This window comes from Homo sapiens, chromosome 2 (genome assembly GCF_000001405.40).
Source record: "Homo sapiens chromosome 2, GRCh38.p14 Primary Assembly".
NCBI classification, from domain to species: Eukaryota; Metazoa; Chordata; class Mammalia; order Primates; family Hominidae; genus Homo; species Homo sapiens.
The window spans coordinates 61,209,116-61,234,463 of NC_000002.12; the positions used below are offsets into that span (position 1 = coordinate 61,209,116).

General features: G+C 36.2%; 1 protein-coding gene across 1 annotated transcript in view; it reads right to left on the minus strand.

Annotated features, from left to right (window-relative positions):
* Positions 1 to 25,348, minus strand: part of USP34 (ubiquitin specific peptidase 34) — a 283,625-nt gene that overhangs the window by 21,653 nt on the left and 236,624 nt on the right. The window contains exons 58-69 of the mRNA NM_014709.4: positions 23,337 to 23,417; positions 20,433 to 20,518; positions 19,712 to 19,880; positions 19,530 to 19,604; positions 17,952 to 18,103; positions 14,133 to 14,181; positions 13,945 to 14,049; positions 13,504 to 13,548; positions 12,387 to 12,491; positions 11,195 to 11,342; positions 4,945 to 5,579; positions 2,657 to 2,814 (exon numbers count right to left, since the gene is read on the minus strand). Coding sequence (NP_055524.3) covers positions 2,657 to 2,814; positions 4,945 to 5,579; positions 11,195 to 11,342; positions 12,387 to 12,491; positions 13,504 to 13,548; positions 13,945 to 14,049; positions 14,133 to 14,181; positions 17,952 to 18,103; positions 19,530 to 19,604; positions 19,712 to 19,880; positions 20,433 to 20,518; positions 23,337 to 23,417 — 1,808 coding nt within the window. The remainder of the gene's footprint in view (positions 1 to 2,656; positions 2,815 to 4,944; positions 5,580 to 11,194; positions 11,343 to 12,386; positions 12,492 to 13,503; positions 13,549 to 13,944; positions 14,050 to 14,132; positions 14,182 to 17,951; positions 18,104 to 19,529; positions 19,605 to 19,711; positions 19,881 to 20,432; positions 20,519 to 23,336; positions 23,418 to 25,348) is intronic.

Here is a 25,348-nt window from a genome sequence, read left to right on the forward strand (position 1 = left end):
TTCCTGGAAATGCAGCATAAGGAAATAATATTAAATAAACTCTAACTAAAAAAAAGTCTATTAATATCTAATCAACTGCTAATTATCTACAATGGCAGAAGATATGGGAATATTTTTAAAGTTTCCACATAAACAATGTTGATTTTTATAATAGGCTCATCTTCTGATTGTTAAATTCTGGATAATCATAAAATTCACCATATTATCTAAACACTCATCAGCTGGTAATTAAAAAAGAGTAACATGAAGGAAAAAAATACTAAAAACGTGTCAGCCTTGAAAATAGTTTATAAAATACAGTCATGTGCCACAAAATGAAATTGTGGTAAATGATGGATCACAAACACAATGGTGGTCCCATAAGATTATAATGGAGCTGATAAATTCCTATTAGCCTAGTGACTTCATAGCCATGGTAACATTCACAATGCATTACCCACATGTCTCTGATGACGCTGGTATAAACAAACTTGTTGTACTGCCAGTCTTGTAAGTATACCACAATTATGTACAGTACCTAATACTTGATAATGTTAATAAATGACTATGTTACTGGTTTATGTATTTACTATATTATCATTATTTTACTACTTATTTCAAAAAAAGTTAAATGTAAAACAGCCTTAGACAGGCCCTACAGGAGGGATTCCAGAAGAAGGCATCATTGTCAGAGGAGATGACAGCTCTAAGCTAGTTACTGCCTCTGAAGACCTCCCAAGTGGGACAAGATGTGGAGGTGGGAGACAGAGATACTGATGATCCCAACCCTGCTAGGCCTAGCCTAATTGTGTGTGTTTATGTCTTAGTTTTTAACGAAAACATTTAAAAAGAAAAAAAATTTAAATATGAAAAGCTTATAAAGATATAAATACTTTTGTTCAGCTATAAAATGTGTGTTTTAAGTGTTATGATAGTGTGTTTTAAGTGCTACGATAGAAGAATCAAGAAGTTAAAAAAACTTATAAAGTAAAAAAAGTTCAGTACATTAATAATGAAGAAAAAGTATTTTAAAATAAATTTAGTGTAGCTTAAGTGTACAGTGTTTATAAAGTCTATAGTAGGGTACAATAATGTCCCAGGCCTTCACATTCCCTCACCACTCATTCACTGGCTTACCTAGGGCAATTTCCAGTCTTGCAAGCACCATTCATGGTAAGTGCCCTACACAAGTGTACCATTTTCTGTCTTTTATTCCATATTTTTACTGTACCTTTTCTATGTTTAAATACGTTTAGATACACAAATACTTACCTTTCTGTTATAATTGCCTACAGTATTCAGTGTAGTAACATGCTATACAGATTTAGAGCCTAGGAACAGTTGGCTATACCATATATCCTAGGGGTGTAGCAGGCGCTACTATCTAGTTGTGTGTGAGTAGTCACTCTGATGTTTGCACAATGATGAAATAGGCTAAAAATTTATTTCTCAGAATGTAACCCTGTTGTTATGCAACACATGACTATAATTACTCACACAGCTATATTACTGTTAACAGGTCTTCTTTCATTAGATACCAGAAAAATGTTGTTATAGACTACAACTGGAAATCCTTCTACTTTATTCCTTTCCTTTTTCAAGAAGAGTTAAGAAAGCTCCAAATCTTTTTTTTCTTTTTTTGAGACTCGCTCTGTCACCCAGGCTGGAGTACAATGGCACAATCATGGCTCACTGCAGCTTCCACCTTTTGGGCTCAAGGATCTTCCCACCTCAGCCCCCCGAGGAGCTGGGACTACAGGTGCATGCCGTCACACCCTAATTTATTTGCTAACTTATTTATTTATATAGAGATGGGGTTTTACTATGTTGCCCAGGCTGCTCTAAATCTTTTTTGAAATAAAGCTTTAAGTAGTAAACTTTGGGAAAACAATTGTATTCAAAATTAATCCAAAATTTAAAAACAATCCCTTTAAGAAATCCGGCAAAGGCGTAGTTAATTTCCCTGTTTACTAATGAAGACTCACATTTGAAAGCTTTCCAAAGAAGACAATCTGAAATAACCTCATCTTAGATTGAGTAGCTTAAGATATTACAGTGAAGTCTTCAGTAAAGTACCATTAAAAAAAATGTGCCTAATAAAAAACAACACTTCCAAGTCTTAGATGTAATACATAGAAGAATTTAAGAAATTAGCCTGAACTTTATTTCTCTAGGTTAAGGGGAATTAAGGGTAATTTGTAGTAGTTCCTGTAACCATTCAATAACTTCTGTAGCTCTGAAAATTAATTATAAAGACTATGTTTTATAATTTTGGCCAAGTCATATAGATCAGAAAGCCAGATAGATATATTTGGGCTAAACAGAATGCAAAATATTAACAGACTCATCCAAAGGTGCAGAAAACTTCCTGGAGGCCTCTAGAACTGAACTATCAAGCCTGAGTTAGGATAAATTGCCATAAACAAGACTATTCAAGCTTTGGGTAGAAGGCTATACATAAAGGTTCCCTTCAACCCTAAAATGATAAAACATACACAAATACAAACCAAAGCCAGACCAAAAACTGTTTAAAAGTAGTTCATGAACCTTCAAAATGTTCCAAAGTGGCTACATGCACAAATGCTTCCCCAATGTAAATGATTTATCTTTAAACATCAAAAGGATGGTCCTCATCTCACTGGAAATAAACAAGACAAAACTAAAAACATCTTTTTACCTTATTAAAGTAGTCCAGCAGGAGCGGCCATCTAAGCAACGTAAGTAACAACTTATGGTTGTTTTCTTGAACTGTTTAATATCTTCTAATTCTTCTTCTCTCATATCTGGCCTCTGAGCTATAAACAGCTGCATCAGGTTAAACAGTTCTTCTACTGCCTAAAAAAGCCAAATAAGCCATATGATCTTTTAACCCTATAGCATTTTAGAAGGTCAGTTTCTCATTTCTACGTTCATTAATCAACTCTTAAAATTATACAAATAAGCTAGATTATACTTCCATTCAGAAAGTTATAAAATCAGTAACAAATTCTATTTAAAAAATTTTGGCTGGGCGCAGTGGCTGATGCCTAGCACTTTGGGAGGCAGAGGCGGGCAGATTGCCTGAACTCAGGAGTTCGAGACCAGCCAGGGCAACATGATGAAACTCTGTCTCTACTAAAATACAAATAATAACAATAATAATAAACACTAAAAGAACTCAACAAATCTTAAAATACAAGTTTAGAAAGAGTAAAAACTGTAAGTGAATACAATTCATTTTTAGTCTTATTACTGCTTAAAGCACTACTTTTGTAACTTCAAATGTAAACCCAGAGGCATGCCACACCATCTCCTATCCACTTTTTCTTTAATTAATGAGAAATCATTACTTTGTCACAAAGATTTTAAATGCCTAAATAACCCTTAAATTAATAGTGTATATGAGGTAAACCTTTGTTCCAACATTTAAAATGCTTTTCTAGAATGATGCTCAGTTCAATTTCCTGATGAATAAAAAGTAAAAACAAATATTTTAGTAAAATCACTAGCTGTGATTTTATAGACTCATATGCACATGTCAGGAGAGGACTGCTCTTCTAACACATACTTGTCAATGAACTGAAACCCCCAGCTTCTTATTTTTCAAAGCAAAAAACTGACTTAAGTACCATTTTCATGAAAATTTCTAATAGATAAGGACATTCTACAATAAAAGACATTACATTTCACTGATGTCAAGGGCAATAAATAACATGGAGGGATAAATTCTAACTCATCTAGTACTTGTCAAAGTATATTTAATTCTGGACATCACATCTAGTAACTAGATCAAATATTATTTATGTGAATATGATAGAGACAAATTTACTGAAACTTAATAAATCCTATCCCGACCCCTTTGAAGTCAGAAAGATTGATATTTTGTATTCTTATGGCATTGGTTTTCAATTTCTTGGTACTTGTACACTCACTCTCTTTCCTGCATTGTAGGGATTCTGATTTTTTCTTTTGAGACAGAGTCTTGCTTTGTTGCCCAGGGTGCAGTACAATGTCTCAATGCAGCCTCAACCTCCTGGGCTCAAGCGATCCTCCCACCTCAGCCTCCCAAGCAGCTGCGACTATAGGTGCACACCACTACTCCCAGCTAATTTTGTATTTTTTGTAGAGATGGAGTTTTGCCATGTTGCCCAGGCTGGTCTTGAACTGCTGGGCTCGAGTGATCCGCCTCTGCCTCCAAAGTGCTGAAATTACAGGTGTGAGCCACTATGCCGGCCTGGGATTCTAATTTTCTCTGACTAGAAATTAGGTTATTCTTCCCAGGTGTGAGATTCTATACAACTCATTACACCATCTAGAAAAAAAAAGACCGTCTATAAAGGACGGTCTGTCTTTAAAGTACAGTTTACAACAGAGAATAAGAGGCAACAGTGAAAAGTTATTAACCAGGTTTGACAGCTTTACATCGAGGGGAGGAAACTTAATATAAAACCTACAAGTAAGTGTGCAGAGTAAAAGGGACCCAATTTAGACTGCATATATATGTATCTCGATTGATCTCTTAAGCATTTCATTTGTTTGGATGCAGCTTGAGAAAAAATACTGCGGAATACTACTAGTTTTAGATATAAAATTGTCTAGCTCACAGTTTACCACAGCATGTAGATTTTGCTAAGTATCTGATTTTTAAATAGCAAAGTACTCAATTCCTTAAAACTGTACCATGAAGCTGGCTTTTTTCATTAGGCACACATGAAGAATACATTTACAAAACCACAAATTAAAAAACAGGTAAGTTTTACTGGATATGCAACTTTAACTTCACCCTAAGAAAAGTTATCTACACAGTTATCAATTTTATAACAACACAGCATTTTATATATGTATTTAAGAAAACAAATACACATTAAGTTCTTAAGAAAGAATGGTGAGACTATTCTATATTCTGCCACCACTTCCCACCAGGGGAAAAACAGGTATTTCCAATCTATTTGAGGATACAGATAAAAGAGTATCAATTTTACTCACTCCAGGGTATTGGCTGGCATGTGGTGTAAGATTCTTAAAGGCCCACTGGATGTTCTGGTGAGAAGCCAGTTGTCGTGTGAATGCAGGAGACTGCTCACAGCAGAGCCTCAGAATGCCATAGTACGCTGGCAGCATCCCACGGTTAAAAAGCACCACATCCTGATCATCATGGTCAGCAAGGATGTAATTGAAGGCAATGTTCTTGGTTACCACTGGGTTCTGAACAATAAGGCGGATATTCTCTGGACAGTCAGCACAGACATTGTACCAAAATGAAAGCAAAGCCTGTTTATTGTGATTTGTAGCTATTGCTGGCTCAGAAAGTTTAGGCTGGAAAAGGTTCCACAAATCCATGAAATATGTGGAAAACATCAGCTTCTCAGTTTTGGAAATTAAACAGTAAGTCATAAAGCTAAAATAGGGCACTAGCTTTGTAGTGCCATGAACAGCAGCATCAACATAAAGTTTGGCTCTTGAGAGCAAACCAAGGAGCACGTTGTAGACCTGATGTAGGACTACTGTTGTGTCTGGACTGAGTGGAAGGTCACGGGTTGGGATGTGCAAAGACCTTGTTGACCGGAACATCTGACGGAATGAATTGCTTGGTATAAGGGACACCAGAAGATAAGCTGCAGCTATAAAATGTAAAACAAAACTGTCAGATCCTTGTAAGATATAAAATAGACTGAACAGCAGTCATTAATCACAAAGCCACTGTTCCCTTTAATAATTAAAATGAATAAAAAGGGACATGAACATCTCTTTTAGTATCTTTCTGCTTTCCCCTTGGCCCCACAAAAAGATCCCAAGAGGTGATAAAAATAGATACCTTCTATTCTGCCATTGTTATTTTTGAAGTGGCAATAATTTTTAAACCACTTTTCTTTAGCTTGCCTAAGATGCAGAATTTTCCCACTTTATCTTTTATTTCTTCTCAGGAAGTAGTATGATTTAACAGAGGGAACCCAGCATTTGCAGTCAGAAGACCTACCAAAAGGTACCTGAGGAGGTCAAATCATTCAATGTTCTACAGTCTTAGTTTTCTTCTTAATTGAAAAATAATGATAATTTACTTTGTAATAACATACAGATATGGTAAAATATACTTGTTATAAAGAAAGAAATAGATATACATAAAAGTTCAATATATAAGATTACATATATGCTAATTATAGAACATTAACTTTGGAAAATCTTTAAAAGTCTTCTAAGGCTAACCTTACACCAAAGGAAAGAACTGGGTGTTAAATTGTAACCAGATAATATATATTTAAGTTATAAAGAAAGAATGAGATATACATAAAAGTCCTATTTGATTACATATATGCTAATTACAGAACATTAACTTTGGAAAATCTTTAGAAGTCTTTTAAGGCTAAACTTACACCCAAGGAAAGAACTTGGTGTTAAACTTATTAAGCCTATGTTATAATGCTGAGGAGTTAGTGACTTATTAGTTGCGCTAACCTGTAAAAGCAGTTACTATCAACAAAGCATTGACCTAGGTGCTGTATAAACTTCTCATTTAATCCTCACAATGACCCTGGATGGAGGTAACAGTGCTCTGGAAAATCTGAATCTTGGAGAAGCAAAGACCAAGGTCACACAGATAAAGAGGTGGAGGCTAGATTTTGCCTTGAGAAACAATGATGATGATAATGATAATGGTAAAACAATAATAGTAATAACTATAATAAGAATTGTGAGCCTTTACCAAATGTATACTATTTGACGTCATAACTTTATGTGGCAGGCATTGCATTTATTATCCCCACTTTCACTCAGGCTTACAACAATGGGACTATCTCAGCTTACACAGCTAGTGGCCAGAGCTGGGATTCAAATCCAGCCAATCAGATTCACAGGCTAATAATGCTCCTAACATTCACTATGGAACCTCCTCAAGACTCTCTAATGTCTGAGTTTGGGTTCTTTTCAGGACAACCATTATTTGTCTCCCCCTATTCTAACTATAACTTGATAATTTCCATTGTATTGTCAAAGCAAACAAAGTTAGGGTTTCTAAAATTAATTTTAGTTTATTTTACAAATTTATTTCCAAATTAAACTTTGTGCACAATACTCCATTTTCTAGATATTTCTTTACCTATATACTAGTCTGCTTAGTCAGAATTTTTAAGGCTCAGTTTGTTATGTGTTTCAAATATAAAAACCTGGCATGTAGGTATCATCCTGATCAATTTTTGCATAAAACTTCAATCAAGAAAAGTAATTTACGATTTAAAAAAGCCATTTGGCGGCTGGGTGCGGTGGCTCATGCCTGTAATCCCAGCATTTTGGGAGGCCAAGGCGGGCGGATCACGAGGTCAGGAGCTCGAGATCATCCTGGCTAATATGGTGAAACCCCATCTCTACTAAAAATACAAAAAATTAGCCAGGCGTGGTGGTGAGCGCCTGTAGTCCCAGCTACTCGGGAGGCTGAGGCAGGAGAATGGTGTGAACCCGGGAGGCAGAGCTTGCAGTAAGCCGAGATTGCGCCACTGCACTCCAGCCTGGGTGACTGAGTGAGACTCCATCTCAAAAAACAACAAAAAACAAAAAACAAAAAAACCATTTGGCTGGGTACGGTGACTCATGCCTGTAATCCCAGCACTTTGAGAGGCCAAGGCGGGCAGATCATCTGAGGTCAGGAGTTCAAGACCAGCCTGGCCAACATGGTGAAACCCATCTCTACTAAGAATACAAAAATTAGCTGGGTGTGGTGGCGGGTGCCTGTAATCCCAGCTACTCAGGAGGCTGAGGCACAAGAATCACTTTAACTCTGGAGGTGGAGGCTGCAGTGAGCTGAGATTGCAGCACTACATCCCAGCCTGGGCGATGGGGCAAGACTCCATCTCAAAAAGAAAAAAAAAAAAAAAGTCATTTGGTGTGAGTTATATACTTTCACCTCAACATTTCTTTGAGTTATTTTTTTGGACACATAAGGTTGGAAAAGCTCTACTAAGACCACAGACCTACCACCGAGATTCTACAATTAACATTTCACTTTGCTTTATCACATACCTAACCACCTCTTCTTTTCCTATAAAAGCTACTTGCTTTTAAATAAAAAGGAAGTTCTGCTTCAGAAAAAAACACGACTTTTAAATTATGTTTTTCTTTAAGAACAGACAGGAAGGTTAATTTGGAAGAACAGGCCATCTTGCCATTTGGTTAACTGCCTTCCTATAACTTAAGAGTCCTGGATCTAGTTGTATGCTACAAAAAACATTAAGTCTACTTCCATGTCTATATGGCAACTCTAAGACACTAATGTCTCAATTTTTCTTTTCTCTATATTAAAAGTTCTCATTTATTTTGTTGTATTTAGGAGTATTCCTATGAAGCTTTTCTTTTATACATGTTATTTTAATTCTTATTCTAAGTTATACTAATTCTATTCAAATATTTGGACTCTTATCAAGTTACAGCAAAAGCACTTTTTCATATTACTACATAGTCTTCACTACTGTAATTTTAACATGATGCATTATAACAATGTTTCCCAACTGAAGAGTTTAAAATTTTTCACTACTAAAAATCATGCTGTTGGGCATCCATATACTTACACTAGAATCGCTAAAACAGTATTACTGACATTAAAAGGGCAAACCAGCAGGGCACAGTGGCTCACGCCTATAATCCAGCACTTTGGGAGGCCGAGGTGGGTGGATCACGAGGTCAGGAGTTTGAGACCAGCCTGACCAATACGGTGAAACCCCGTCTCTACTAAAAATACAAAAAAATTAGCCAGGCATGGTGGTGGGTGCCTGTAATCCCAGCTACTCAGGAGGCTGAGACAGGAGAACTGCTTGAACCCGGGAGGCGGAGGTTGCAGTGAGCCGAGATCACGCCACTACACTCCAGCCTGGGCCACAGAGCAAGACTCCATCTCGAAAGAAAATAAATAAATAAGAAAATAAAAATAAATAAATAAAAGGATATATAATTTTTAAGAATCTTGGTAAAGATCTGTTAAACTGCCTTTCATAAGAATAATATTAAACAATGCCACTGCAATGTACAAGAATGCCATTTCCTCAGCACTGTCATCAGTATTAGGCATAATAGCTGGCTGAAAAACCTTTTTGGGGGTTCAGCATAGTTTTTTTTTTTTGTTGGTTTTACGGTCAGGGGTCAAGACATGAATGCCAACTGGCACACATCTCTTTGTTAAGAGCGCACAGCTCTCACATAGCTCTTGGCTGTGTGCTCTTACAAAGATCCTATTATGGTGGGGTTAACTAAACTTCCAGGAAAAAAAAAAAAAAAAAAAGGCCCATGGGCAGAGTGCCCATGCCAATCCATGTGTTCACGCCACTGAAAGGTGCTTCTCACAAATAAACCTTTTATTTTAGAATAAGCAGAACAATTTCAATACACCTCCCTCACCTAGTTTCCCCCACAGTTAACACTATTATGATGGTACATTTGTTGTGACTAAGGAAGCAACACAGGTACATTACTACTAACCAAACTCTCCACTTTAGATTTCACTTGTTTTGCCCTAATGTCCTTTTTTTTCCTTCCAGGATCCCATCTAGTATACATTACAGCTAGTCATTATGTCTTCTTAACTTCCTCTTGGCTGTGACAGTTTCTTAGATTTTCCTTGTTTCTAATGACCTTTACAGTTTCAAGGAATACTGGTCGGGTATTTCATAGAATGTCCCTCAATCTGAGTTTGTCTGATGTGTGTCATGGTTAGATTCAGGTTATAGGTTTTTGGAAGGAAGACCACAAGAGATGAAGTGCCCTTTGCCATCACGCCATATCAAGGGTACACACTATCAACCTCATTGATTACCAATGATGTTAATTAACCTTTATCACCCGGCTGAGTTGTACTGTAAAGTTTCTTCACTGTAAAGTTACTTCCTCCACACCCCATTCCTTGGAAGAAAGTCACTAAGCTCATACTCAATGAGTGAGGAATTAAGCTCCACCTCCTGGGGAGATGTGTACATATATTATATGGAATTCTTTTGTATGGGAGATTTGTTTACTCTCCATTTATTTATTCAATCATTTATTTCTACTAAGTATGGACTCATGAATATTTATTTTATCCTTGGGGTTATAATCCAGTGCTATGTTATTTTGTTACTCAAACTGTTCTGGCTTTGGCCATTGGGAGTTCTTTCAGGTTAGCTCTGTGTTTCTCTGACATACACCCACCATTTTGATTTTTGAGTACTTTCACTTTCTGACACTATAGGATATTCCACACACATCTTGTATATTCCCTGTCCCAGCCCTAAAATCAGTGATTTCTCCTAGGAGCCATGAATTCTTTTACTGGAGAATGGTGTTCTGAATCCAACATCTGGGCCAGGTGCGGTGGCTCACACCTGTAATCCCAACACTTTGGGAGGCAGAGGTGGGCGGATCACTTGAGGTCAGGAGATCAAGACCAGCCTGGTCAACACGGTAAAACCCTGTCTCTACTAAAAATACAAAAATTAGCTGAGTGTGGTGGCGTGCACCTGTTATCTGAGCTACTCAGGAGGCTGAGGTGAAAGAATCAGTTGAATTCAACAGGCAGAGGTTGCAGTGTGCTGAGACTGCACCACTGCACTCCAGCCTGAGCAACAGAGTGAGACTCTGTCTCAAAAAAAAAAAAAAAAAATTCAACATCTGGATACCAGACATGTTTATTGCTACTTAAGTATCAATGACTGTAGGGCCTTCTCAGCAAATAGATAGAAAATGTTTATAATAAGAAATTTAAAAATTAAATTTTCATTTTTTTGAACTATCAAAATAACATTTTCTATGTTTATTTCCAAGCAACTTTCTATTTTGTGAAATATTTTTGATATGTGTCTACCTGTCTAAGATCTTTTTTACTGGCTTGTGTACAACTTAAAGTGTTTATATAACTCATAATTTCAGCCAATATTTTCTCTCAGCTTATGTCTTTATTACCATTTTATCCTTAACCTTCTCAAAAGTTACTTTTAAGACAGGATTTTCAAACCTTTTTATTCCCTTCATTACTGCTGATCATGCCTTATCACTCTTATCAAGCAAGGAAACAAAAATGATAGTAGTGATGATGTTACCCAAGAAATAACATGGTTTCCTATCCTAAAAAAAAAAAAAAAAAAAAAAAAAAAAAAAGGAAATAACATCTCCAAGAATTTCGTAGTATACAACAATGGGCATGTCGTAGTTGCCTAAAAACAAAATGAAACATAACTTTGAACAATAAATAAATGGTTTATGAAATTCTAAATATTTGACTTACAAGTCCTCACTCTAGGATAATTGTGAGCCAAAAGAAACCGCTCGACCCAGTTTTCCATATTCTGTAAGACCCAGCTGTGTGCCAGTTTATTTCGGGGTGTCTGCACTGCCAACCAATCTAGACACTGAGAAGGATTGTATTCAATCACCTACAAATAACATGACAAGAACAGAATATAAGGCCAACTGAATGAGCAATTACTTTTACTTACTTTTTGTATATGCTATTAGACACAAAGCTAAAGTACTTTTTTGACAATTAGAGATTAAAAAGGTTTCACCCTATTTTTTTCCCATTTTTAAAGCTACTTTTACTTTTATCAACAGGAAGTGTTCAGAAAAATATGTCACTGGTTTACAAAATGAATTTAAAATAACCAAGTACCATAAGACAAATATGAGAACTCCATAACTTCTAGGTCTTGCTAAATTTGGAAATTTATTTAAAAGTATTTTTATTTCTCTAAGGTTTCTCATCTTTACTTTTCTGATTACATGCCCAACCTGGTACTAAGTGAGAATACAAGAAGCTCGCTGTACTGCTGTGGAGAGTTTCTTCATGAGAAAGGGGAATCCTAGGAATCTAGAGTGGGGGTTGGCAAACTATGGCCAGCAGGTCAAATTCTGTGGCTGCCCGTTTTTGTTGTTTTATTGAAACACACCCATAACCCACTCATTTCTTGTCCATGATTGCTCATATGCTACCACAGCAAAGTTGAGTAGTTTCAACAGACACTGTATGCCACACAAAGTCTAAAATATTTGCTCTCTGACCCTTTTGGGAGAAGATTTGCTGTCCCCTGGTCTTGAGCTTTTCCAATACTCAAACAAGGAGAAATTTTGTGACCTCAGCAGTAACTCTGGAAGCAAAAAGGTGGCTGGTGCTTCCTCTACCATTTCTGTCAATTCTTGAAAACACTTGGTTTGTATTTCTAGGACTTCTAGTTGCTTTATGGAACTTTGGAGGGTAGGGGAATGAAAACTTCAAATTGGCTAAAGCTGTTTATGATGCTACAAGAATGTCTTTAATACAACTAGGAGACTAGCTAGGAACTCTTTTCCTCCCCAAACCTGTGACTTACTAAAACCATCTTGGGGTAATAAGAAACTGGTACTTAAAATGGTAGTGACTATATTATAAAAATAAAATCCTCAGGAAAATAAACATTGAAAACACCTGCTGCAAGACTTACCTCCCATATCCTCTGCAGAATATAAGATGCAAAGGGAGGCATTCCTGGAGGTCCACCAGCAAACTCCATTAGCATAGTCAACAACTTAAAGAAAGGATTGGCTGCCTGTAAAACACATACATGACTGTGTATTTAGATCAATCTGAACCCATCTCCTTCAGCAGAGAAGAAACATATATTCTACTACACACTATATTTAAATCTGTGTTAGGGAAGGAGAGCTCAGCCAGTACTTCTGCATGTGAACCTGAACTACCATAAAGCAGCAGGATCAGCGAGGGGTACAAAGTCAACCGGGAACCACGTATGATAGATTTTTCTGGATGTCAAGAGTATTTTGGAAAAGATAATTATAAAAATATTCTCTAAATTGACAAACACTGTAAATACTTACGATGTACAACGTTTTGAAATATGTATACATTGTAGAATGGCGAAATCAAGCTAATCACATATGCATTACCTCACACACTTATTTTTTGTCAGAACACTTAAAATCTACTCAATGATTTTCAAGTATAATTAACTGTAGTCGCTACATTGCACAACAGATCTCTGGAACTTATTCATGAAGATTTGTATCCTTTAAGCAACATGTCCCCAACCCCAAAAATAAATTGTTAATGAGACAACTGTGTTCTATTGAAAAATTTAGATTAAAAGCTTCCTATAGCAACCTGAGGGGTAATTTATAGTAATGTTTGACATCGATTGTTAAAATAGCTATAGCATTTCCATTTTACAAAAATACTTTTATATAACACTGCATTCTATTTTCTATATACTTTTACACACATGCTGAGTCCTGGTTGCTCTACTTTTTCTTTGGGCACAATTAGGATATATGTTCCCAATCAAACAACTTTAAAGCCTGGCATCCAGGTGGCACTCTGATACAATGAGTCTATACACATATTTACATTTAGTTGGGAAAATTATATTCGTAATAAGACATGATTAGTAGTTCATTTTATTCACATTATACACTTAAAAATAGGTTATTATGTTATGGGAGAAACCCTGATAAATTTGTTCTCGAGAACAATTAGGCTCATTTGAAAGCATTAGCAGTGCTGAAAATTGTTTTAAAAACATAAATTAACAAATGTTTACATACCTCAGGAGTCAACTTTGCTATTGATGTGAAAAGCATAGATACAATCTAAAACAGAAAGAGGAGGATTTCAGGATATTCTTGTTTTGTTTTGTTTTTGAGACAGGGTTTCGCTATGTCACCCAGGCTGGGATGCAGTGGCGAGATCACAGCTCACTGCAGCCTCCACTTCTCAGGCTCAAGCGATCCTCCTGCCTCAGCCTCCGAGTGGCTGGGACTACAGGCATGTGCCACTACACCCGGCTAGATTTTTCTATTTTGTGTAGAGACGGGTTCTCACTATGTTGCCTAGGCTGGTCTCAAACTCCTAGGCTCAAGCGATCCTCCCGCCTTGGCCTCCCAAAGTGCTGGGATTACAGGCATGAGCCACCGCACTCGGCCAGATTTCAGGGTATTCTTTTTTAAAATTTCCAAAAATCTTTAAGACTGTTCCTTAGCACTTACATGTTCTGCAAGTCGATTATTGTATCGACACAGGCTGAAAATCAGATTACAAGTTTGTCTTATATTGATGCCATCACGAATATGTTGAAACAAGAAGGGAAATCCCTGTCAAAAGCAAAAGTTGTTCATTTAAGAACCGTTATTATTTTTGTGATGATCAAATTGTCTAATATTAGAGAATGTACTACCTTTCCTCCTGTTAATGCTGCCATGTCAGTCTGTGATAATGTCAAATGCCTGAAAGAAAATATTAGTGGAAATAAGTTTTTCTTCCTTCTGTATTACTTTACAGCGATTTACAACATGTATCAAAAATTGTTGATTCAATTATAATTGTATTAACCTGCCATCATAAAATGATTTTTTGCTAGCTACATTTGCTTGCTAAATGTCTTTTGGGCAACTTTTCAACATTCCAGGATTGGTAAATGAAAGCCCAAATGTACTTCATTTTCATTTAATTAACTTACTATTTTAGTATATAAAACAGTAGGATGGGTCTTATTTTACTTACTTTTTTTTTTTTTTGACATGAGACCCTTCAAAACCAAATGGACTTCTAGAAATTAGCATTTCATCTCCCAGTTTAAAATTACTGTATATTTCTTCCTTTTTTTCTTTCCTTCTTTTTAGAGATGGAGTCTACTTCTGTTGCCCAGGCGGGAATGCAGTGATGTGATCGCAGCTCACTGCAGCCTTGAATTACTAGGCTCAGGGGATCCTTCTATGTAACCAGGATTCAGGCACAAGCCACTACACCTAGATTGCATATTTCTTTTATAACTTATAAAAATTTCAGCTATATTAAAAAACAGAATAGTACAAGTATTCCATCAGTCAGCTTCAAATTTACCAAAATCAGAGCCAGTCTTGTTTCATTTGAACCCCCATCCACTCAATATGAATTATTCTGAAGCAAATTCCAGGCATTTTATCATTTAATCCATAAATCATAGTATCTTTAACAGATAGGTTTCAAAAACAACCACGGTACCATTATTCATGCCTAAATGAATAATTCCGCACTGTCATACAATATCCAGCGTACACATTTCCTGAAGTTTCTAAAAAGATTTTTAAAATTAACTTGTTTGAATCAGGATTCAAATAAAGCCTTTTGCCATAATTAGTTGAAAAGTCTCTTAAATATTTTAATCTATTGGTTTCCCCACCAGCTTTGTGTTTGCAATTTATCTGTTGAAGGTCATTTGTCCTGTAGTTTCTCTCACATTTACACTTTGCTGATTGTATCCTTATGGTGCTGTCTTAACATGTTTCTCTGTCCCTGCATTTTCTATAAACTGGTAGTCAGATCCAGACTTGATGAGATCTAGGTTTGACTTTTTAATTAACAGTATCTTGTAGAAGGCACACAATGAAGGGTTAGTCTTTTTGTAAGGTTTTCTGTCAGTGGTGACAACTGCCTAGATCCATCATTTCATCTGGGATTCCAAAACAGTGATATTCTAATTCCAATTGTCCTTGCTCATTAATTAGCTTGAATACATATAAGAACACAAACTTCCCCTCAATCACCATTTGGTTGCCACGAAGTATACTTGCAAGTAGAATAAATGCTTGATACTGTTTTCCATTATTTATCAGTTTCAAAAATAATGATTTGATTTCCTAATATACTCCAAAAGTTGCAAGTAAACTAAAAAAAAATTTCTTTTTAGGTATTATGAACTCATGGATTTAAACATCTTTGATGTGATTCACAGTCCACTGCAGTTATTACCGATGCTCAAAGCTGTTCAATCTATGACCAGTAGAAACCTCCGTAAGTTGGCTCTTGAGTTTCTTTACCATGACCTCAGTAGTCTTAGACTGCCTCCTTGCTTTCCAAAATGACAAGACATTCCAAACTTCTCATTCATTTCTTTCCCAAGAACTGTAACTAGTCGTTTTTCCAAGGAACCCCAATTCTTTCAGTGGGAAATGAAACCTAGAGACTATACCCTAGATGCCAAGGGTACTCATTGATTCTGGGTTGTACAGGGTTTCCAGGTCTTTTCAGAAAACAGTGGTAGGTAAAACATTTTCTGTAACAGATTTTCTGTAACAGATTTTCTGTTTGCAAATATACCATAAACTGCTACAGATATTTCCAATTCAAATTTAGTTTTAAATAAGTTATGCAAAACCCTACAATTTAATATTTTTATCTTTCTTTTGCTGAAAATCTTGGTTTCCAATGACATTAACAGTTACTTATTTGTTTCATCCTGTAATATACATTAATACTTTCAGAATAATACTTTTATTACAAATAATATAATTACTATTACAGTTTAGGAAAATTTTACAATTCTTTTTGTCCTTCATATACATCCCACTAGAAATTTACCTATTTAATATATAGTTAGGTTCATTTACTTCACTGTGCTTTTGATTTTTAGAGATTACTTCTTATTCATTTATTTATAATTATACATTTATATGATACCAAAGTTAAATTTGTCAAAAATCCATTCCTGTCCCCTCCACCCTGTTTTTATTCCTCTATCCACTGGAAACCATTAAAAAAAAAAGTTTTTGATTTATAGTCAATTCTTGTATTTGAGGTAGTTGTGTTCTATAAAGTGTGGCAAATACTGAATTAGCAAATACCAAATTATTACTACTAGGGCAAATACACGATTAAGTTTCTGTGAGCCTCTGGTAATATTTTTGTCAACCAATCGATACATTTACTTTGTTTTATGAGTGTTTCTGTTAAAGATACCTTATTTAGTATATATTGTTGATTCATTAACGTTTAACTCACTGCCAATAGTATTAAAACTCATATGAATGAAATGTGTCTAACACGTATTTTCCCTATAAGTCATATCATGGCCTTCTTGAGCTTAAGAACACTAGAGAGCACTTCAGCACTACACTTGAGGGCCATTTTATTTACTTATTTTTACAGATGGATCTTGCTATATTGCCCAAACTGGACTGTAATGGCTATTCACAGGTGCCAAAGTAGCATACTGCAGACTCAAACTCCTGGCCTCAAGCCATCCACCTCATCCTCCCAAGTAGTTGGGACTACAGGCGTGTGCCACCACACCTGGCTGAGGGCCATTTTAAACAGCAAAATCACGAACAAAACATATAAATATACAAAAAATTTTCACAGCATACACCGTGAAAAGTACATTTGTTTACAATATGGAAACTGAAACAAAAAGGCAAATTGTTGCCTTGTTTGACCTTACCTGGAAAGGCATGTCAGGCAACTCAAGTTTTTTGCCACTCTGCATATGCACACGTCTGTGAATGACTGCAAAAGCTCCCCGAGTGCCACTTTTGGCATTACAAATGCATTTTAGCAAATGGGTGAATTTGCAAATAGGAAATCCACAAATAATGAGGTTTGGTTGTACATACACATACACACACACACATACACACTCTCTCTCTCTGTCATCATAGCATTCCCTTAAAAAGTAGGATATCATATACACTTTTTCCCACCTTTTTTTACTTAGTAATAGATCCTAAAGATTTCTCTGTGGTAGTACAGATAAATTCCATACTTCCTTTTTCAGCTATATTCTTTTGAATGGATGCTGTTTTTTCAACTAGTTCCCTTTTGATGGACATTCAGCTGATTCTAGTCTTTTGCTATCAGAAGCATGGTTTCAATAAACAGATTTGCATATACATCTTTCTGTATTTTGGACACAGATTCCTAGAAATGAAGTTGCTAGGTTAAAGAACGAATGCACGCTCTATTTTGCTAGATATTTTACTGTATATTTTTTCAATGACTATTTCTAACACGACTCATAGATGAAGTAAAAGTTTGGTAGAAAAAACTGAAATTCTTATGCCACAAGAGTTGATGAATAGTAGTATTATTTAAAAGGATTTATATAATAAAAGCTAGTGAATAACAATTACATAATTAAACATATATAATAAAAAGCTAGTGGAAAAACTAGTGGTAAACAATTATGTAAAAATAATAAAACCAAACATGCTTTAAACATTTTAAATTCGAAACATTTCACCTTTCTGATCGAGACTGTTCAACCAAAAGAGCAACTAAAGCTATCATCTTTTCAAGGGCAGCTGGCCTGTATTTTTCTTCTGCCAGAGAGAGGATATCTTCTTCCTCCTCTTCTTCTTCCCCTTCTTCCTCTGATAACACTTCAACTTGAGGCTAAGTTGGAATAAAATTCAATTTTAATACGGTAGTAGTTTTAATATCATTTTGAGAACAAATGACTTGTTTTATGTAACAGTGTAGATGGTGGCAGGAGCTTGTAACATGAAAAACAACTGCACAAAGACCTAAACCTAATGTAAAACACTCTAAACCACATTCAGGACAATCTTAGATTAAACTGCCAGAACTGTAAAGAATAACAATTCTCTGCCGGGCATGGTGGCTCACGTAATCCCAGCATTTTGGAAGGCTGAGGCGGGTGGATCATTTGAGGTCAGGAGTTCGAGAACAGCCTGGCCGACATGGTGAAACTCCGTTTCTACTAAAAATACAAAAATTAGCCAGGCGTGGTGGCACGCGCTTGTAATCCCTGCTACTCGGGAGGCTGAGGCAGGAAAATCGCCTGAACCTGGGAGGTGGGGGTTACAGTGAGCTGAGATAGCACCACTGCACTCCAGCCTGGGAGACAGAGTGAGACTCTGTCTCAAAAACAAACAAACAAACAAACAAACAAAAAAAAAACAAAAAACCTCAACACTGACTACTTACCTTACCTATAAACCCTTGAATAACTTTTTTCTTATAAGCAAGCTCATTGGAAGACAAGTCACGATAAAAATTGCAAGTATGATAAAATAGTATTTCCTATTTAATAAAAATGCCAGTTATACAAAATAAGAAATTCTTATTTATAGTTCCCTGATAATCCAAATAGTGGGTATTTCAAAGAGATATTCACTTGGGCTTCTAAATGCAGACTCAAAAGATTTTATGATCTACTAGTGTATATTCTGTGAAGCATTACAAAACAGTGTTTAAGAGTTTTAGCTCAGTAGTCTGACCGAGGATCAAAGCACAACAAGTCACTGTGATCTAAAACAAATTAACTTCTCTAAGTTTCAATTGTCTCATCTGTTAAATGGAGATATAAAGGGTACTTATCTCTTATGGTTAAGAAAAGGACTGAAAAAGAGTGCAAGTAGATCATACAACCTAATGCATTTGTTATGAACAACACAAAACTGATGTAATACTTTAATATTATTCATAGACCACCTACTTAAATTTTGGAAAGACTCTCATAAACTTAATAGCAAAGAACTTAAAAATGTGACCAGCAAAATGTTCACAAAAACAATTCACTATTGATAAGACCCTAAAGTAGGTGACCACTTTGCCTAAGTTTATTTGCTTTGTTCCAGACCTTACCAATGAATGAACTTCATTACCTAGTTGTTTCTTTCTTGCTATATCCATTAAAATTACATTAAAAACATCAACCAATCTTAGACCCTTCATATTATCTAACACCAGGTTCCAGAAGGGACTTTAAAGGGTTCTAACATCTCAGGACTTCGCACGATGCAAACTATGAAAACCAGAGCCTCTAATACCTAATGTACGATAGAACTGTACTTACATTTTCAGGTCCTTTTGTTCCCATGTAAAAATGTACCATTGTAGATATAGCTTGCAATGAAAGCAAAAATTGGCTCTAAACAAACAAACAAACAAAATTTAAAAATATAAAATAAAAGCAATTAAGTTGCAAATACTGAAAAAAGGTAGATAATCAAAAAAATAGACAAGATATAGCCTCACCTCTTCTTCACCCATTTTTGCAAATTCGTAAAGGAAGGCAAAATACTCTGTAAGATGTTTACTGTGAGGTTTTACACCATGTTCCATAATTAATAACAGGGTTCTCACAAAGCGAGTGACACATGAACGACCACCAATATCTTCTACTGAGGTATCCATATCATCTGACCTAAGAGACAATTAAATAGATCTTAGAGAATGTATGAGGTCTGGAAATACTGTTCGAGAGAAAAAGTACTTTTTAAACTCTGAATTTCTTTTATCTTTGAGATAATGAATATGAACCGCAATAACTTAAGTAGTTATTGTGACTGGCTAAATCAATGCAAACAAAAAGACTAAGCCATAAAGTAATTTGTAGAGGATTTTGCAGATGCAAAATTTAAATAAAACAAAAACAGTTTTACCTTCTTGAATGTATTATTACAGATTATTTTTTAAACAGAACAAATATTTCAGTGTGGATTTTAAAAAATATTTTGTAGGCAGGTTGTTAAGAAACTTAAAAATTAGGGCTAAGCATGGTGGTTCATGCCTGTAATCCTAGCAATTTGGGAGGCCGAGGCGGGCGGATCATTTGAACTTACGAGTTTGAGACCAGCCTGGGCAACATGAAGAAACCCTATCTCTTAAAAAAAAAAAAAAAAAACAAAAAAAAAAAACAAAAACACCACACACACACAACACAGACACACAAACTTATTCAAAAAGTACTTCTTACCCATCTTCCATTCCTGGCTGCAAATAGAGATGAGCATGCACAGGTCTCAGCCTCTGAATCACATGGATACACAAACGCTGAAACATCTGTGAAGAAAGAAAAAGATCAAACAAGAGCCAACTCATCAGGTAACAAAGATTTGAAAAATTAACATGATTCAAAATTCTCTGCCACCCATTTATAGTTTGCACAAGATTATCTTGGTATTCTGGAGCTCTTCTGGAGTCTCAACAATGGACTAAGGAAATGAGGCAAAGGTAGCATTAAAAAAATTCAGTTTTATGATAAAGAGAAAAAACTCAACAAACTGTACATTTCAGTAATACAGATGATCAAAAACAAAGCTTCAAAAAATCCTTTTAGCTAGTGGAGATACAGAGAAAAGAAAATCTAGTATCCAATTCCTTAAGAAGAGTGGAATGGGGAAGGGCCGCTGCTCATCATGGGGTCAGCAGCTAGGAGAAGGAAATGTGAGGATTCTTTAAAGATACACAAGTGACCCACAATCACATGAAAAAAATGTGTAACCATTTTGAGAAAAATGCATACCAAAACCACAATAAGATACCACTTCATACCTTCTAGGATGGCTAAAATAAAAGACAGTATCAGCTGCTGAAGATTATGGTGAAATTAGAACACTTATATATCACTGGCAAGAATGTCAAACACTGCAGTCACTATAAAAAAACAGTTTACCAGCTGGGTGCAGTGGCTCAAGCCTATAATCCCAGCACTTTGGGAGGCTGTGGTGGATCACCTGAGGTCAGGAGTTCGAGACCAGCCTAGCCAACATGGCAAAACCCCACTTCTACTAAAAATACAAAAATTAGCCGGGCGTGGTGGTGGGCACCTGTAATCTCAGCTAAGGAAGCTGAGGCAGGGAGAACTGTGTGAAGCCGGGAGGTGGCGGTTGCAGTGAGACGTGATCACGCCATTGCACTCCAGCCTGGTTGACAGAGTGAGACTCCAACTCAAAAACAACACCAACCAACCAACCAAACAAAAAACACCAGTTTACCGCTGGTGCAGTGGCTGTAGTAACAGCACACTGGGAGGCCAAGGCGGGCAAATCACCTGAGGTGAGGAGTTTGAGACCAGCCTGGCCAAAATGGTGAAATCCCGTCTCTACTAAAAATACAAAAAATTAGCTGGGCACGGTGGTGCGCGCCTGTAATCCCAGCTACTTGGAAAGCTGAGGCAGGAGAATCACTTGAACCCTGGAGGCGGAAGTTGCAGTGAGCCAAGACCACGGCACTGCACTCTAGCCTGGGCCACAAGAGCGAAACTCCGTCTCAAAAAAAAAAAAAACAAAACACAAAAACAAAAAACAGTTTACCAGTTCTAAAAACATACACAAAGAAGTGACAAAGTATATCCAAACAAAAACTTGTACTAAAAGTTCCTAACAGCATTACTAAAAACAGCCAAAAAGTAGAAACATCTCAAATATTCAGCTGATGAACAGGTAACACAAAATGTGGACTATATACATTTGACAAACTATTTGGCAAAAAAAGAAAATGTAATATGGATACATGCTGTGACATGAATAAATCCTGAAAAGATTGTTAAATCGAAGCAGTAAGTCACAAAAGACTAATAGTGTATGAGTCCATTTATATGAAATGGTCAAAATAGGCAAATCTATAAAGATAGAAAGTAGACTAGTAGTTGTCAGGTATTGAGGAGAGAGGACAGGATGAAATAGGAACTGATTGCTAATGGGTATAGGGTTTTTTTTTGGTGGGGGGTGGGGGTGGCAAATGTTCCAAAATTAGGTAGTAGTGATGGCTGCACAACTTTGTGACTATACTAAAAACCACTAAATTTTACATTTTGAAAGGTCTGGGTAAATTTTATGGTATAAGAATTGTAACTTAGGCCAGGCTCAGTGGCTCACAACTATAATCCCAGAACTCTGGGAGGCTAAGTTGGGAGGACTGCCTGATCCCAGGAATTTGAGACCAGCCTAGGCAACAGGGGAGAGACACTCTCTCTACAAAAAAATACAAAAATTAGCCAGGTGTGGTGGTGTGTGCTTGTAGTTCCAGCTACTCAGGAGGCTGAGGTGGGAGAATTGCTTGAGCCCAGGAGGTGGAAGCTGCAGTGAGCCATGAAGTACCACCGCACTACAGCCAGGGTGACAGAACAAGACTCTGTCTAAAAACAAAACAAAACAAAATTACCAGGTGTGGTGGTGTGTGCGTGTAGTCCTACCTGCTGAGGCAAGAGGACTGCTTGTGACAGAGCAAAACCCTCTAAAAAAATATATATACATATATATGTATGTTCTATATAAATTTATAAATATATAAATATGATATATAACATATATATGTAATATATACACACACGCATATATATCTCAATAGTAACTGGAAAGTGGCATACGTCAACTAAGTTTTTGATTTTGTGAAAAGTGACTATAAAGTAATATTTAAATTTCATTGTCTATTTTACCCAACAATTTAAAGAAAACAAACTGTTTCGTTTGACAGTTCAGACCCAATCACAGAAATAAGTTACAGCCTTTTCATTAGCTTTTGAGGTCACTATAGTACCCTACCATGGTTAGAATGTGTAAGGATTTTAAAAGAATCAGTATAACTCATAAAGCATCTAATAATAAAGAGCAGGATCTAATAATAAAAGAACAGGAAATTACAGTCAATCTTCCTATATCCAGGAAATGTGCATAATTTTAATCACCTTATTAGAGTGAGAGCTGATGTTAAAAGAACCTGGTGAAACCAACAACAAAATGACTTTTATGATAGGAGGCAGATCTTTTCAAACTATTATCAATATTAGGTTAAGACACACTTATAAGCAAATTGAGAATAATTAAATTGAAAGTAACTTCTTTTCCAAATAATTTTTTTCAAACATATTTTTCCTTACCTGTCTCACAATTTGATTAGGGCACTTAATTAGTATCTGCATTGGCCACCAGTCGTCATCAGCCATACGATCTAAAAACCACTGTTAAAAAAAAATACAGCATGACTTTAACATTCAACAAATATTTGTTACATGGGATAACAGTCACATAAGAATTTTATTTCTAGTCAATGTTTTAATTCTTTTAAGTTCTTACCAGAAAAGTTTCTCTAATTGTCATAAAAGTCAAACTCTAAAATCATAATAAGGGTTACCTCATTACACAACTCCATGGAATGCCATTTACATTATAGTACACAATGTGCATGACAATCTGTGGTCCTTTATCATAATAAAATATCATTCTCTTAGCCCTCATAAATGTGACATAGAATCTTTAGTTCTTATTAATTATATATATATATATATTCCCCCCCCCCTTTTTTTTTTTTTTTTTTGAGACAGATCTTGCTCCGTTGCCCAGGCTGGAGTGCAGTGGCACGATCTCGGCTCACTGAAACCTCTGCCTCCCAGGTTCAAGTGATTCTCCTCCCGAGTAGCTGGGATTACAGGCACGCACCACAATCCCTGGCTGATTTTTGTATTTTTAGTAGAAATGGGGTTTCACTATGTTGGCCAGGCTGGTCTTGAACTCCTGACCTCAGGTGATCTGGCCGCCTCAGCCTCCTAAAGTGCTGGTATTATAGGCGTGAGCCATGTCACCCGGCCACCTATTAATAATATGTGATATGAGCATGATTAATTTTCTTTCTGTTTAAAAACAAATTATGATCTAATTAGCACTTGAGAAACTCTGGATCTATCGAACAGCCATGAGAAGAGAAGGAAACAGAGGAACATGTTAAACACCACCAGGAAAATGCAATTAGTCAAAGAAAGCATGTGGGAAATCCTACAGCACAAATGACAAAAAATGGCATGGAGAAAAAAAAAGTAACTTTTATAGATTAAGGAAGACTTAACAAACAGATGAATGCAAAATGTGGAACTTGTTTGAACCACTCATTTAAACCAATCAACTGAAAATTTTTTTTTGAGATGGAGAAAACTGAACATAGGATGGGTATTAGATGACAAGAATAAATCACTTCTGGCCAGGTGTAATGGCTCATGCCTGTAATCTCAGCACTCTGGGAGGCAGAGGCAGGAGGATAGCTTGAAGCCTGGAGTTTGAGACCAGCTGGGCAACAAAGAGACTCTGTCTCTATAAAAAAAGAAAAAAAATTAGCTGAGTGTGTTGGTATGTGCCTGTGGTCCCAGCTACTCGGGAGGCTGAGGGAGGAGGCTGAGGCAGGATTGCTCAAGCCCAGGATTTTGAGGTTGCAGTGAGCTATGACTGTGCACCACTGCATTCAACAGCCTGGATGACAGAGTGACACCCACTCTGGGGGTAAAAAAAAAAAAAAAAGTTATAAAGATGAGAAGTCACTTCTAATATTACTGGGAGTGAATGAAATTGTGGTTGCATATGTTTTTGAAGTTTTCTTATGTTAGAAATATATACTGGGTGTTTATGGATGCATGATCTATTTAGGTTTCCTTTAAAATTCTTCCATTATGGAAAAAAAAGGAATAGGGGATAGATGAAACAAGAAAGAAAGATTATTATTATTTATTGAAGTTGAGGAACAGGTATGTGACAGCTTATTATCCCTTTCTACTTTTGTCCATGTTTCCAAATTCTCATTACAAAATTTCAAAAAGTTACACTTTAGTGTTTGAAATTTCTGAGGAATAGATTCCCTTACTCTATTTCTATAAGGTATAATCAGATGAACTTCTAAATATGCAAAAAACCTTTAACTATAATTCATCTATTATATACCAGACTGCTATTCCCCACTTCTGTTAATTCGTAAGACTTGCCTTCCTATGGAGATTTACAACTCTTTGGTTGCTAACCTAGAAGTTAAGATGGCAATATGATTAAGCTGTCATTACCTTTGAGTGGGTTATCCTTAGGGATGCACCTCTTAAAATAGGGGATGGAGAGAGAAAACCAGGCATAAACT